We start from the raw sequence: 15,256 nt of genomic DNA, 5'->3' as shown, positions 1-15,256 counted from the left end.
CAGAGCCACCGTGCCCGACCAAGCTAGCTCTTTTTAATTAATTCTATTATTCATGTTTTCAATAGCATTGATTTCTGCTCTTTATTATTTTCTTCTCCTGGCTTGAATTTATTTTGCTCCCTTTTTTAAGGTGAGAGCTTGGATGACCGATTTCAGACTTTCTGTCTTTTCTAATATAAGCTTTTTAGTGCTACACATTTTCTTCTTAATACTGCTTTGGATGTGTCCCACAAATTTAAACATGCTTCACTTTCATTTTCATTGAGTTCAATGCTCTCCGAGGTTCCTCTTAGACTCTTTTTTAGTGTATATCTTTATATATTTTTAAAGTGGTTATTCTGGCTATTACTACTATAGATGTAATAGTGAGCTTAATTCCCAAGTATTGAAACATTTCCTGTTATCTTTCTGTATTGATTTCAAATTTGAATCCATTGCAGTCAGAGATTATATTCTCTATAATCCTAATTCTTTTATGTTTGTCGTTGTTTTATGGCTCGGGAGATAGTCTGTTGGTAAGTATTCTGTGAATGCTTGAAAAGAATGAGTATTCTGCTGTTACTGGGTGGAGTTTCTATAAATGATCATTAGATTCTGTCGGTTGAAGGTGTTGTTGGGTTCTATATCTCTGATGATTTTCTGTCTGGTGTTCTATCAATTGTCCAGAGAGATGTGCTGAAGTCTCAAACTGCGATTGTGAATTTTTCTATTTCTCCTTTCAGTTCTGTCAGTTTTTGCCCCACACACGTTGCAGTACTGTTGTTTGGTGCAGGTACACTTAGGATTGCTATTTCTTCTTGGTACATTGAACGTTTTATCATTATATAATGTTCTGTTCTGTCCCTAGTAATTTTCTTTGCTCTGATATCTACTTTCTCTGATATTAACATAGCTACTCCTTTCTTTTGATTGATACTTGCATGTTGTATCTTTTTCCATCCTCTTACTTTCAATTTATCTATATTGTTGTGTTTGAAGTGTGTTTTAGACAACAGCTGGGTCATGCTTTTTAAATCCACCCTGCCATCTCTTTAATTAGTATATTTAGATCATTTACCTTTAATGTAATTATTGCTATTTTAGTCTTAAATCTGCTCTTTTATTCTTTTTTGTTTGCTTGCTTCTAATTCCTGCTTCCTTCTTCCTGCCTTCCTGTAGGTTACCTGAACATTTTTACAATTTCATTTTTATTTATCTGTACTGTTTTTTCATGTACTGCTTCGTATAGTTTTTTAAAGTGGTTATTCTGGCTATTACATTATGCATTAATAACTTATTACGGACTAGTGGTATAGACATTTTAACTGTTTGAGTGAGGCATAGAACCCTAACCTCCATTTAAGTCTCATTACCCTTCCCATTTATATTGTTAAAGTATTTCTTTTACATATAGAGAACCACATAAGACAGTGTTATAATTTTTGCTTCAGCTATCAAATATAATTTTTTTTTTTTGAGACGAAGTTTCACTCGTCTCCCAGGCTGGAGTGCAATGGCACAATCTCGGCTCACTGCAACCTCCGCCTCCTAGGTTCAAAGCAATTCTCCAGCCTCAGCCTCCTGAGTAGCTGGGATTACAGGCACCCATCATCACACCTGGCTAATTTTTGTATTTGTAGTAGAGATGGGGTTTCGCCATGTTGGCCAGGCTGGTCTCGAACTCCTAACCTCAGGTGATCCACCCACCTCGTCCTCCCAAAGTGCTGGGATTACAGGTGTGAGCCACGACGCCCAGCCTCAAACGTAATTTAGAAACTCAAGAGAATAAGAAAAGTCTGTTATATTTATTCACATTTTTACTTTTTTCATTGCCTTGTCTTCCTTTCTGATGCTCTTAAATTCCTTATCATTTCCTTTCTGTTTCAACAACTTCCTTTAGCTATTCTCTTACGGTAGGACTGCTGGCAATATTAGTTTCCTTAATTGAGAATGTTTTGATTTCCCTTTCATTCCTGAAGGACATTTTAACTAGGTATAGGAGTGTAGGTTGATGGTTTTTTTTTTTTTTTTTTTTTGAGATGAAGTCTCGCTCTGTCCCCCAGACTGGAGTGCAGTGGCGCGATCTAGACTCACTGCAAGCTCCGCCTCCCAGGTTCACGCCATTTTCCTGCCTCAGCCTACCAAGTAGCTGGGACTACAAGCGCCTGCCACCATGCCTGGCTAATTTTTTGTATTTTTAGTAGAGACAGGGTTTCACCATGTTAGCCAGGATGGTCTCTATCTCCTGACCCCATGATCCGTCTGCCTCGGCCTCCCAAAGTAATGGGATTACAGGCGTGAGCCACTGCACCCAGCCTTGACAGTTCTTTTTTTCTGCATCTGAAAATACTAGGCCACTTCCTTTTGGCCTCCATTGTTTTTTGTTTTTTTTTTTTTTTTTGAGACTGGGTCTTGCTCTGTTGCCCAGGTTAGAATGCAGTGGTGCAATTACAGTTCACTGAAGCCTCAATTTCTCCCACTTCAGCCTCCCAAGTATCTGAGACCTCAGGCACGTTGCTACCATGCCTGGCTAATCATTTTATTATTATTATTATTTATAGAGATGGGGTTGCATCATGTTGCCCAGGCTGGTCTCAAACTCCTGGGCTCAAGCAATCCACCAGCCTCAGCCTCCAAAAGTGCTGGGATTACAGGCGTGAGTCACTGTGCCCAGCCCCTCCTTGATTTTGATGAGGAATTCACTGTCATTTAAATTGGTTTTCCCCTATAGGTACAGTATTTTTCTGACTACTTTCAATTTTTTAAAATTTATCTTTAGTCTCCAAAAGTTTGATTATAATGTGTCTTAGTGTGGCTCTATTTGGATTTATCCTGTTTGATATTAGTTCAGCTTGCTGATTCTGAAGGTTTATAGCTTTTGCCAAATTTGAGGAAATTTCAACTATTTTTTCCGAAAGTATTTCTTTGCATACTTTTTTCAGCTTCAGTAAACTCTTTTCTTGTCTTCTTCTGGGATTCTGATTACCTGAATGTTAGACTTTTCATTATAGTCTCACAGGTCCTTGAGGCTCTGTTCATTTTTGTTTCATTCTATTTTTTCTTGTTGTTCAGATTAGGTAATTTCTAAATTGTTCTATCTTCAAGTTCACTGATTCTTTCCTCTGACTACTTCATTTTGCTGTTGAGTCCATCCACTGAGTTTTAAACTTCGATTACTGGAATTTTTCTGTTCTAAAATTTCCACTTGCTTCTTCTTTGTATCTTCTACTTCTTTGCTTAGAGTTTGTATTTTCATTTGTTTCAAGTGTGTTCGTAATTGCTCAATGAAGCTTTTTTTTTATGATGGCTGCCTTAAATTCCTTGTAAGATAATTCCAATTTCTGTGTATCTCAGTGTTAGCATCTATTGATTGTCTCTTTTCACTCAAGAGAGATTTTCCTAATTCTTAATATAAGAATTTTTTTTTCTTTTTTTTTTTTTTGAGACAGAGTCTTGCTCCGTTGCCCAGGCTGGAATGCAGTGGCCCCATCTTGGCTCGCTCAAGCTATTCTCCTGCCTCAGCCTCCTGAATAGCTGTGATTACAGGCACATGCCACCACAGCCAGTTAATTTTTGTATTTTTAGTAGTGACGGGGTTTCACCATGTTGCCCGGGCTGATCTCAAACTGACTTCAAATATCTGCCTGCCTTGGCCTCCCAAAGGGCTGAGATTACAGGCATGAGCCACTGCGCTCGGCCTAAGAAGTGATTTTTAACTGTATCCTATTACATTATGGGACCCTGGATCTTATTTAAATCTGCCATGTTAGCAGGCCTCCTGTGACACCATGTGTCTTGGTCCATTTAGGCTGTTATCTAACAAAATACCGTAATCTGGGTAGCTTATAAACAACAAAAAAGTTACTTCTCATAGTTCCGGAGGCTGGCAAGTCCAAGATCAAGGAACTGGCAGATTCAGTGGCTGGTGAGGGCTTATTTCCTGGTTCACTGATGGCACTTTCTTGCTGTGTCCTCCTCACATGGTGAAAGGGGTGAAACAGCTCCCTTGTGCCTGTTTTATAATGGCACTAATCACCTTCTAAAAGGCCCTACCTACCTCCTAATACAATCACCTTGGGGATTTGGGTTTCAACATATAAATTTGGTGGGGGACCACAAAAACATTCAAACTATGCCAACGCTATGCTAATGGGGAAAGAAGGGTGCTGCCTCAGTACTTTCAGACGGAAATGGAAGTCCAAGGTGCCCACTTGCCCTCCACTGACATCTGGGGGTCAGCAGAAGGTGTACTTCCTTATTGCTGGGTGAAGGCGAAAGTTCAGGCTCTCTACAGGTCCCTGCTGACACATGCTGGCTGGGAGAAACAGAGGTGCGTCACCACTGCTCCCTACATGGCCTGCACCGACAGCATGGGGTAGGGCAGTAGAGAAAGGCTTATTACATCTGGGTGGTGGTTAGAGTCTCAACCTCCCTGTTGACCTTCTCTGACACCATCCTGATAGAGAGGGGACAGGATGTCTCATTACCACTGAGTGAGAGTTGAAGTCCAAGTTTCCCAAGTGGCCTTCACAGATGTCTCTGGGAGATGGTGAAAGTTCTGGTTCCCCACTAGACTTCTCTGACATAGCTCTGGCAGGAAGCAAGGCATGCCTAGTGACAGCTAGGTGAGGGTAGGAATCTAGGCTTCCCACTGAACTTTACTGATGGAGGTGGGAGTGGAGCTGTGGTTTTGCTTCTGTAGCATTTCGCTAGAATAAGGCAGTTAATGTTTGAAAGTTTTCTGTCTTGTTAGGCTTCCTCTCTTCTGGTCCTTTTGCTAGAGGGAGGAGGCTTTTTGTTTGAGTCCATTGTTATTCCCAGGTTTCTGACTTCTCCAGCACCCAGTCAAGGATATATGGGGCAAAAAGAAAACCCAAGAAACTCGCTGTCAAATTTTCCCTCTGGTCGCAAGGTCCCTAGGCAGTCTGCTTCTCTCTACCTCTCAAATTCCTCTTATGTTTGTTATATACATATACTGTCTAAGGTTTTTCAATGTACTTTGGGGAGGAACGGGGAGAAATGTCTCTACTCCCTCTTGTCTGGAACCATGTAGGGTACTTAACATGATCTCTTAAGCATTTATCATGAATGCGTCTGTTTCCACAATAGATTAAGAAAACTTTATTAACCTCCATATTTTAGCCTTTAATTAAGCAAAAGTATACACTTTATAATATGCTTGCTGTTCTGTTTTACTCTGTTCACATTTCTGACTGGAAACTTGAGGTTTTGCTGGTAAGAGTTTCATCATTCATGAAAAGATGACAAAATGTACTGTAGAAGGTACTGCTTCTTGTCACCACACTGAGCTCTGAATTTGTATTACCTTTTTCTATACCAATTATTCTGACTCTTTCCCATTTGACATGGTTAGAGAGAAGTGATTCTAATTTATGAAGAAACTAAGTTAAATCACTTGCCTAAGCTGAAAGAGCCAGTTATTTTCAGACCTGACAGCAGCAATTTAGTTTTATAACTCAGGATCCTTTCATTGTAATAATGTTCCTCCTTAAAGTCTGATACTTAAAACTACTTCTAATACCAACACAGTTTCAAATGTAAAAGTTGAACAAAGTTTAGAACTAAATAAAAAATCAATTAGCTATATTATTTTAAAATGTTGTGTATGTGAGCCAAAACAGTACCTTTGCTTTCTAATTTTAAAAGAGATACATGTTCAGATGGGCACAGTGGCTCACACCTATAATCCCAGCACTTTGGGAGGCCAAGGCAGGTGGATCCCTTGAGGTCAGGAGTTCAAGACCAGCCTGGGCAATATGGCAAAACCCTGTCTCTACTAAAAATACAAATATTAGCCGGGTGTGGTGGCATGCACCTGTATTCCCAGCTACTTGGGAGGCTGAGGCAGGAGAATTGCTTAAACTCAGGAGGTGGAGGTTGTAGTGAGCCAAGATCGCGCCACTGCACTCCAGCCTGGGAGACAGAGTGAGACTCCATCTCAAAGAAAAAAAAAAAAAAAAAGAGACACATGTTCATTATCAGAAAAAATCAAAAGATCTAAAGAACAAAAAGAATATGCAGAACATCAATCGTGTAGCTGACTGTTGATACTTTACTGTGTATTTTTCCAGAACCTTTACTCATTTTCTCTATGTTTCGCTTTTTCAAAAAAATATGGGGGAACTAATGGTTATATAATATTTGATTGCATAGATATGCCATCATTTATTTAAGTATACCCTATTGCTATTGGCTCAAGTCATTTCCAGTTTTTTATTTCTTTTTATCTTTTCCGCCCAGCTTTTTCTTATTACAATACAACTAAAATGAACATGGCAGATTATTTACTTAGGACAAACTTATAGGGGTAGAAATGTTGGTGAAAAGGCAAATACATTTTTAGGCTTTTGATACCTACTGTGAAACTACACTAAAGAAAGATTATAGGAGTGTATAGGTTACCAGCAGTGTAGGAGTGGTCACTGGCACACCTGCAGAAACACTAAACATTTCATATACATATATAAACTTAGTCCTATCTACTTGCTCTTGCTGCATTCCACCTTCCTATTCTGCCCCCACCCCTGACATCCCACCCAAATTCTACCCTCACTTGTGATCTAGGTGGTCCAGTTCTAGCTTCTTACTTCTGTAAACACTTCTCTGCCTAAAAATAACTTTTCTTCTTTTAGATATATCAGTATTGCTAATTAGCAGCTATCATTTGTCTGCTTGTTCTTGTTGTCTGTGATCTTTGTTTCCCAAGCTAAAAGGCAAACTGTGGCTATGACAATGAATTACACATATTGGCATTTTCTGTAGTGCCCATTCTATTACAGTGTCTCAGTAGACAGGCAATGTGTATTTCTTGGTAGACTTTTATGTTTCTTAATTCAGACTCAGTCAGTTATGGAAGCTTACTGGATCTCCTTTGATATGGAATAAATGAGCACAAATCCTTGGGCTATGCTGCTGCCTTAGATATGGAGAAAGTATTTTATTATACTTGGGAAATATTTAAGTTACTACTACTTTAGAATACTAACTATAAGCCATTTTAAAACTGTACGCAATACATAAAATCATATTTTTGCACATGAAAAAATGTGATTAAATGACAGCAGCAGACATTAGGAGACAGATACTGGTTTCTTTATTTCACATGTGACTTTCAGCCAGTCAACAGGGATTCACATCCCATATTAGTTAAATGTGACTATGAAAATTTTATAAAGTACTACAAAAAAGCTGTTATATACCTATTGATTTCTTTTTTAAAAGTGGCAGTACACAGTAAGACATTTTAAAAGAGCTATCTTATATTTTAAAATTTAAGTCATCTCTATAAATAACAATTGACCTAGGCATTTATGCCCCAAAATAAAATCCATTCCATTTTTTAACTTAAAATAAGCGAATAAAAGTTAAGATGGTCAAACTAGGCTTCATAAATTACTCAGCTTCAATTGGCCACAGCAAATTTACAGCAGATCTAAGAAACAGCTTCAATTTTATCCATAAGTACTTGCATATTTTCATCTCATTCTATGATATAAAAACACTAAATGGCCAAAATCTCAAGTGAGAAAAGAAAGCAAAGCTCACCTTCACTGCTGGCAGCATGTCCAGGGAGTCCAGTGTGAACAGCACTAATGCTTGCATCAGCATCATAAATTGATTAAATTGCCATGTCAGACTAAAGAGAAAAGTTGATATGAAAATGGCAAGAAGTGTCAGCCTCTGTAAAAAGAAAACCTTTGTATAATTTACATGTCTCTAGTAATAAAAAACCTTGCAGACAAGTTTTCTCAAGAGCAGCCAGTATCTCTATAAACCAAACAGAAAAACCATAAACTGTTGCTCTGAAAACCCTTGCATTTGTTATTTAAGCTCTAACTATCATAAAGTGACACTTTGCATATAAATATTCACATACGGTGTGTGTATTCCACACTATTATGGAGGCGATAATGCACCAAATCACATCTCAAGAGCAAGGGCTTAAAAATTCTGACAGTTTGCAGAAATTGTGTGTGGGTTTGCTGCAACTATTTAAGGGTAGATTATGTAGAGTACATTTTTAACATCAAAAATGAAAACATTTTCTTTGCAAAGTAGAAAAAAGCTCACGAAAAGAAAACTTAATTTAACTCAAGTTTAAAAATTGGTCATGGAATAAGAACTATTCACATGCATTGGGATACTAAGCACATCACATTTTTTGAAGCTTCATATATAAAATTGGGGGATTAAAATATATGAAATTTTATAAACACTTACTTCAGAAAGAGGCTGTAAGTTTGGTCTCAGGAAATATGTAATTGCTGCTATCTGAATTGCAAAGAATGGCAGCGCCCAGTTCTCCCTCAGTGGGATGGTAAACTCAACTCTTGTGGTATCTATTCTGCACAAAAGAAAACACAAATGGCCAAAGTGATAGTTTTTACAATAATTTCCTCGAAGACTTCCTCAACGAAAGATATATTACATTAAGGACAAGTATACTTAAGATTCTGGCCACTGGTTCTCAATAATTGTCCTTATCATCATCATCATCATCATCATCATCATCCCTGTAACATAAAATTGGCATAGAGAACATTTAAGTGCTCTGTCCATGGGTATGCCCTTAGCACCTAGGGTTCAAGCCCAGGTTAGCCTTACTCCTAAACTCACAAATGTATCATGCCAAACCCTTACTTTCATTTCTCCCTCACTTTATTAGTGTCAAGAGGCAATACACATTTTCCCTCTCTCTGTATTTCTTTGGTGTTTTTTATACTTGAGTCTTAAATATGTCATTGACAGTATTTTTTAAAAAAACTTCCTGCCTCTCTAGAATGTGAATCCCAACAGGGCAAGTATGGGTAAAATTTTTCATCTTTGTACACCATCCCCACACATACTAGGCATTCAATAAATGATACACTTATGTAACACATAATATACGTGTGTGTATCTACATCTCAAACAAGGTACCTATATCTACATATATCTCTCTATAAAAGATAGAGATATATATGAAACAATGTATCAAACAATGTATCTATATCTACATATATCTCTATATAAAAGAAATATATATAGATGTCTGTAATATCTGTATCTATATACAAAATGTAACCTTTAAAGCCTCAATTTTATCATTTCTAAAATGGGGATAATAATAATATCTACTCTATAGGGTTCTTCTAAGAACCCATATAACACATATTGTAAAGTGCTTGGCATACAGTAAACCCCCAACAGGACTGTCATAACACGTAATTTGCTTAGACTTACAAAATAAAACCTGTATTAGAACTCATGTTCAAGTTTTAAGACTCCTATTGAATACTGGTATTGCCATTATAGGACAGGCAATAATTTAATGATCTTGAATACATTTTTTTAAAATGTGATTTCATAAGGCTCTACTGCTTATAATAGTAGATATTAAATAAGGCAAAAACGCCCTTGCATTTTATCTTTAAGCTCTACTAACTGAGAGCCATACACAACCCTATTAAGGTTGATAGTGAAGATATAATTAAAACTTTTTAGGCAAGGCACAGTAGCTCATGCCTGTAATCTTGATACTTTGGGAGGCCAAGGTGGGAGGACTGCTTGAAGCCAGGAGTTCAAGACCAGCCTGGGCAACATAGGGAGATCCTGTCTCTACAAAAAACAAAAACAACCCCTAAATAAATAAAAATTTTAAAAGTCTTCATTGGCTTTAAAAAACAGCAAGAAAAAAACCCAAAAAACTTTTTAATGACTGATACGTTAATTACCTTGATCTGATCACTATACATTCTATATGTATTGAAATATCACTATGTAGCCCATGAATATGTATAATTATTATTTGCCAATTTAAAAAAACCCTTTAAGAGATGAGATATGCGGCTGGAGAAATCTTGATCACCCAGCAAACAGATAATAGGTTTGGGATTATTATGAATGATTTTCTTGATATGCAATTCAATGCTCTCTGTTCCTCAGCTGGAATTACATGTAAGTAGCACTTTCTCCCTAACTAAATAAGAAAAATTGAGTAAACCACCAGGCAAACCAAAGAGAAACTGCTCCCAACCAAACAAATGTGGCAGAAGAAATTTCTCTGAGCTGGAAATGAAGTGACTTCATTTTTACTTACATTTTGGAAAAAAAAGAAGCATACTGACTCCAACTCACCTATTTGTGACATACCAGAAAGCTGCCAACAGTCCTGACAGCCATGTACCACTGAGTAGCCAGCTGGTTATGTAGAGAGCTGTGACATAGATCGCCTGGAGCCCAAATAAGGTGTAAATATAAAAATAAACTGGCTCTAAATATTTCTGTAAAAGGGAACAATAAAACATGTTTGTCAGGTGAGCCCTAACCCTCCTCAGTGCCATTTAAAACATGACAGTAGGAATACAATATGCAGGAGCTTGCCTCTAATTCCAAGCAGCAAGCCCACACCCCTTTCATCTATTAGAGAAGCGTTCGGGTAGCCTTTCTTCCCACCACCGAGAAGAGACAGGGGAAGGAAGTCCGTGACAGGTCTGGCTTCACTCTTTACTCTAGAAAGTTTTATACCTAACTTTGTCTGATGATACGTCATTCACATGAGAAGTGGTCATTGTGATTTGCTGACTTTACAAATTTTTTCTCTCAAAGATCCATCAGGAGTGAATGTGTAATCACTCCTGATTACAGAGAGCAAATGAAAATATTTATTAGCTTCTAGACCGCATACATACATAAGCCAGGAAGCATCTGTGTACAAAAACCTTATATCCTATGTAAATAAAAAGCAGTATCTTATAAAGTTCATAATATACATGGAAAAAAAATATAGTATTGCTGATTTTCTACTAAACCAGTTGAAGATCAGAAAGAACGATGTGATAACTTTCAGTTCAAAATGGCAGACTTTGACTTTCATCTGATATTAATAATTCAATATCACAAAACATACCTGTATGGGTAGAACTCTATATAAAATACTGAGAAAAACCTCTTGGTAAATATTCATTCGCTGAAGGAGGTTAATTGTCTTCATAGATTCAGTTTTATTATCATATATTAGGCCATGAAAACCTATAGATATGTGAAAAGTCAGGAAGAAAATAATTACACTCATAATTATTCATTCATTCAAAACTATGCACAGATTGTTTAGTAAGTGCTAGAGACTGTGGTAGGCATTGGGGATATAAGAGTAAGCAAAAAAAACATACTCCTGCCCTCAAAGAGCTTACCACATATTCGATGGACATCATTTAAACATTTACACAAACATAGGTAAATTAAAACTTTTGTAACTGGAATGAAACCACCACCACCACCACCACAAGGTCCTTCTCTAGAAATGTGGGCAAGAGGATTTCACATTTCTCCACCCTGCCCTCCTGCCATGCAACCTGCAGTATCTCCTTTGGGAGAGTATACATGGCCTTCCTTCTCCACTCCCCAGAACGGCTTTGGCCATGTGCTCTAACCAGTGGCATGTAAGTGGATGTAAGCCATAGCTGAGCAGAGGCTTTAGAAGACAAGGCATGTTTCTACCAGCTCTTGCTCTTGCCCTCTGCCATGACACTGGCACATTCCAAATAGGGCTTGAATGCGCAGATGTTGGGGGCAGACCAGAGCTGCAGCTCCCTCACAGCAGACATGTCATGAGAAGGATGAAGGAGAACTTGACCTGCTGTTACAGAGATCCACAGCCACAGAGGTCCTCTGTCACTGTAACCAGGCTAATTAATCCAAGGCATGAATGGATAGTTCACAGAAGAAAACATGCACACAGTCCTTCCACACAGGAGAAGATCCTCAACCTTGCTCCTATTAAAACAGTGCAAATTAAAACTACCCTGAGGGATGCTAGTTCTCACCTACTGCCTTGGCAAAAAAAGTTTTACAATACACTCTGTGAGATTATAAAAAAGTAGACTCCTATATACTACAGTTGGGAATACAAAATGGTGTCATCTCTATGGAGAGGAATTTTGCAGTATCCAGCAAAATCACATATGAATTTACCCTTTGACCTAGAAAGCCCATGTCTAGGAATCAATCCCACACAAAGGCTGGCAAAAATACAAAATGACATTGGCACAAGGTCACTCATGCAGCACCATTTGTACCAGCAAAAGATTGATCCAAAACAACCCAGATGTTCCTCAATAGGAGGTGCTGTGGACTGAAATGTGTCCCCCACAAATTTGTATGCTGAAGCCCGAAGCCCTAATATGACTGTTCTTGGAGACAGGGCCTACAGGAGGTAATAAAGGGTAAGTGAGGTCACATGGGTGGGGTCTTAATCTGATAGGACTGGTGTTCTTATAAGAGGAACAGACAAGAGCTTGCCCTTGTGCTCTCTCTGCATTTGCACAGAGGGAAAGGCTATGTGAGGACACAGCAACAAAAGGGCATCTACAAAGCCAGGAAGAGAGGCCTCAATAGAAACCAATCCTAACAGCAGGTGGATCTTGGACTTCTAGCCTCCAAAAGGGAGAGAAAAATCTCTGTTGTTTAAGCCACGCAGTCTGTGGTATTACATTATGGCAAGCCTAAAGTCTAACACAGGAGTGTTATGGATGGATAACTCTCCAACCTAAGAGTTGGACAGTTATGGGCCCTCATGATGGGATTAGTGGCCTTACAAGAAGAGACACCAGAGAACTCGCTCTTCTCTTTCTGCCATGTAAGGACACAGCAAGAAGGTGGCTGTCTGCAAGCCAGGAAGAGAGCCCTCCCTAGAACCTGACCATGTGGCTCCCTAACCTCAGACTTCCAGCCTCCTGAATTGTGAGAAAATAAATTTCTGCCATTTAAGAGTCTGTCGTGTTTTAATTAATTAGTTAATTTTTTTACTTTTCTATTTTGAGACGGAGTCTCGCTCTGTCGCCCAGGCTGGAGTGCAGTAGCGTGATCTCGGCTCACCGCAACCTCCACCTCCCAGGTTTAAGCGATTCTCCTGCCTCAGCCTCCGGAGTAGCTGGAATTACAGGCATGCGCCACTACGCCCGGCTAATTTTTTTGTATTTTTAGTAGAGATGGGGTTTCTCCATGTTGGTCAAGCTGGTCTCGAACTCCCGACCTCAGGTGATCCATCCGCCTCGGCCTCCCAAAGTGCTGGGACTACAGGAGTGAGCCACTGCGCCCAGGCTCAGAGGATCATTTTAAACTTCAACAAACAGCAAAACAATGCAAAGGACATGGCATAAAACAGACTTTCTGAAAAGGACACTGCAGTGTGAGAGCCGAGACAAGGAGGCAGAGTGTCGCCTCATTCAGTCTCTGTGGGAAACACGCATGCCAGAGGCTAAAGTATTCTGTTGCTCTGGACGTGTCCATGAATGACTGTGAAAGTACTATTAATGCTGATTTTAGGGTTATAAGTACATTTTAGGAAGTAAAAGATTTTGCAACTATGGAATCTGTGAATAACAAGGTTTGATTGTATGGGGAAAAAATGAATACTAAGCCTGCTTTTCTTGTATAAACTGTACTGCAAGGTAGCCAAACAATTAACGAGAAGGTTTTCTATATAACATAGTTCCAACTAATAAATAAGGAGGAATGACAGAATTAGAAGGTCACTAATTTGCATCCCCTCTGAAATAAGAACTACAGACGATAATCATCAATGGCTGCTAAAACCACTAAGCGAAGGGCTGGTGATTAATTACCCTTATTATGGATGAATCTGGCTATCATCACAGGGACCAACTCATTAATTTTTATGGCACAAAACCAAAGATAACCAAAATGTCATGTCTCCTAGGTGATAAAACTACAAGTAAAAAACATCACTTATGGGCTGGGCGCGGTGGCTCATGCCTATAATTCCAACACACTGGGAGGCTGAGGCAGGAGGATCACTTGAGCTCAGGAGTTTGAGACCAGCCTGGGCAACACAGTGAGACTTCGTCTCCACAGAGAAACAAAACAAAACAAAAAATGAACGTGGTAGTGCACACCCATAGTCCCAGCTACTTGAGAGGCTGAGGCAGGAGGACTGCTTGAGGCTGGGAGATTGAGACTACAGCGAGCTATGATCATATCACTGCACTCCAGCCTGGACGACAGAGTGAGACCCTGTCTCAAAAACAACAGCAAAAAAATAATTTATGAATAACTGCCACCAAAAATGTCAAAGCTGACTCCAAATAAAGCCTATAAAAGAGCAGTTTTCTGTCACATGCACTCATGCTAAGCCGATCAAGTATGTACTAGGTAGAAGAGATCCATGTTGGGGCTTTCATTAGATGGAGTAAAGGCAGAGTGTGGGGTCTAACCCACTTAGGGGAAGTAAAAATGCAGGAAAATGGCAACTGTGAAATAAAGGAATGAATGGAGCACTGGGGACAAGAGGCACAACTGTAATTTTCATTTGTGTTACCAAAATGCCTCCTGTTCTCAGACAATACTCCTTTCACCTGCAAAGACCTCCTCCAAAATGATCATGAGAAAATTCAGCAACAAAACCATGAAATTGCAAAGATATTACTTTTGGGATGGAACAGAGCTGGAAGGCAAAGAGAGGAGGGTTATATAAAGTATTACATAACTTCTTCCAGAGCAAAAAACATTTTCATGAAATGATTAGACATTAGCACGGAAAAATACACATGTTCTAGAGAGCATTTAAGTGGTTTTTAGTGCACAGTACTTCTCACTAAAATATTGAAAAAAATGCAGGAGACCCCAAATGAAACTATCAGTTGTAATTACCTTGCACGAGGGTTGGAGCCTGCAGCATCTGCTTGTAGTAGGAGTAATACAGGCCACACTCTGTTCTGAATGAGATTTCTCGCTCCACTTCCTAAAACAGAGTTAGATCCTATGGGTTTATGTGACCTAGTTTTGTTTAAATACATATTGTTACTGTAGAAAGGATACATAACTGCAACTTGAAAGAGAAAAAACTCTGAAAATATAGTCTCAAAAAATCTTGGCAAACAAGAATGGAAGGCTGATCACTGTTAAAGCTGAGTGAGGGATACATGGGAGTCTGTCCTACTATTCTCTACTTTAGTGAATGTTTAATCTTAAAAAAAATTTTAAAGAATACATCACCATTCCTATGTAATAGCAGTGAGACACAAAACAGGGATGGCACAAAAAAAAATGAAAAGAAATATAATTGCATTAGACACCTACCTAAAAGCTACCAATATTACATAAGATCAATCATTTTCATTTTATTCTAAGAATAAAAGGTATTTGTAGTCAAATAAGGCAGACACATGAATTTTACTCTGACAAGCGTAACCCTGGTGGGAAGAGGTTTATGCAGGTAAATGGATACATGAAATATTTAAACTGCTTTTAGATAAGT

The 15,256-nt window shown here is 38.7% G+C and overlaps 1 protein-coding gene across 15 annotated transcripts in view; it reads right to left on the bottom strand.

The window, feature by feature from the left end:
- Positions 1-15,256, bottom strand: part of DPY19L3 (dpy-19 like C-mannosyltransferase 3) — an 80,121-nt gene that overhangs the window by 38,435 nt on the left and 26,430 nt on the right. For 13 of the 15 annotated variants that reach the window (XR_007066627.1, XR_007066628.1, NM_001172774.2 and 10 more), the window contains exons 4-8: positions 14,650-14,740; positions 10,889-11,010; positions 10,117-10,262; positions 8,221-8,344; positions 7,546-7,680 (exon numbers count right to left, since the gene is read on the bottom strand). Coding sequence is in view for 13 of the 15 variants with exons in the window: in NM_001172774.2 (NP_001166245.1) it covers positions 7,546-7,680; positions 8,221-8,344; positions 10,117-10,262; positions 10,889-11,010; positions 14,650-14,740 (618 nt within the window). In the remaining 2 variants the exon portion in view is untranslated. Of the gene's footprint in view, positions 1-7,545; positions 7,681-8,220; positions 8,345-10,116; positions 10,263-10,888; positions 11,011-14,649; positions 14,741-15,256 lie in introns of those variants that run through there. The other 2 variants (XM_006723045.2, XM_017026367.3) reach the window with 2 other exon arrangements.

Source organism: Homo sapiens, chromosome 19 (genome assembly GCF_000001405.40).
Source record: "Homo sapiens chromosome 19, GRCh38.p14 Primary Assembly".
Classification (NCBI taxonomy): Eukaryota; Metazoa; Chordata; class Mammalia; order Primates; family Hominidae; genus Homo; species Homo sapiens.
Note: the sequence above shows the minus strand (reverse complement) of the source record. Positions and strands in the feature narration are given on the sequence as shown.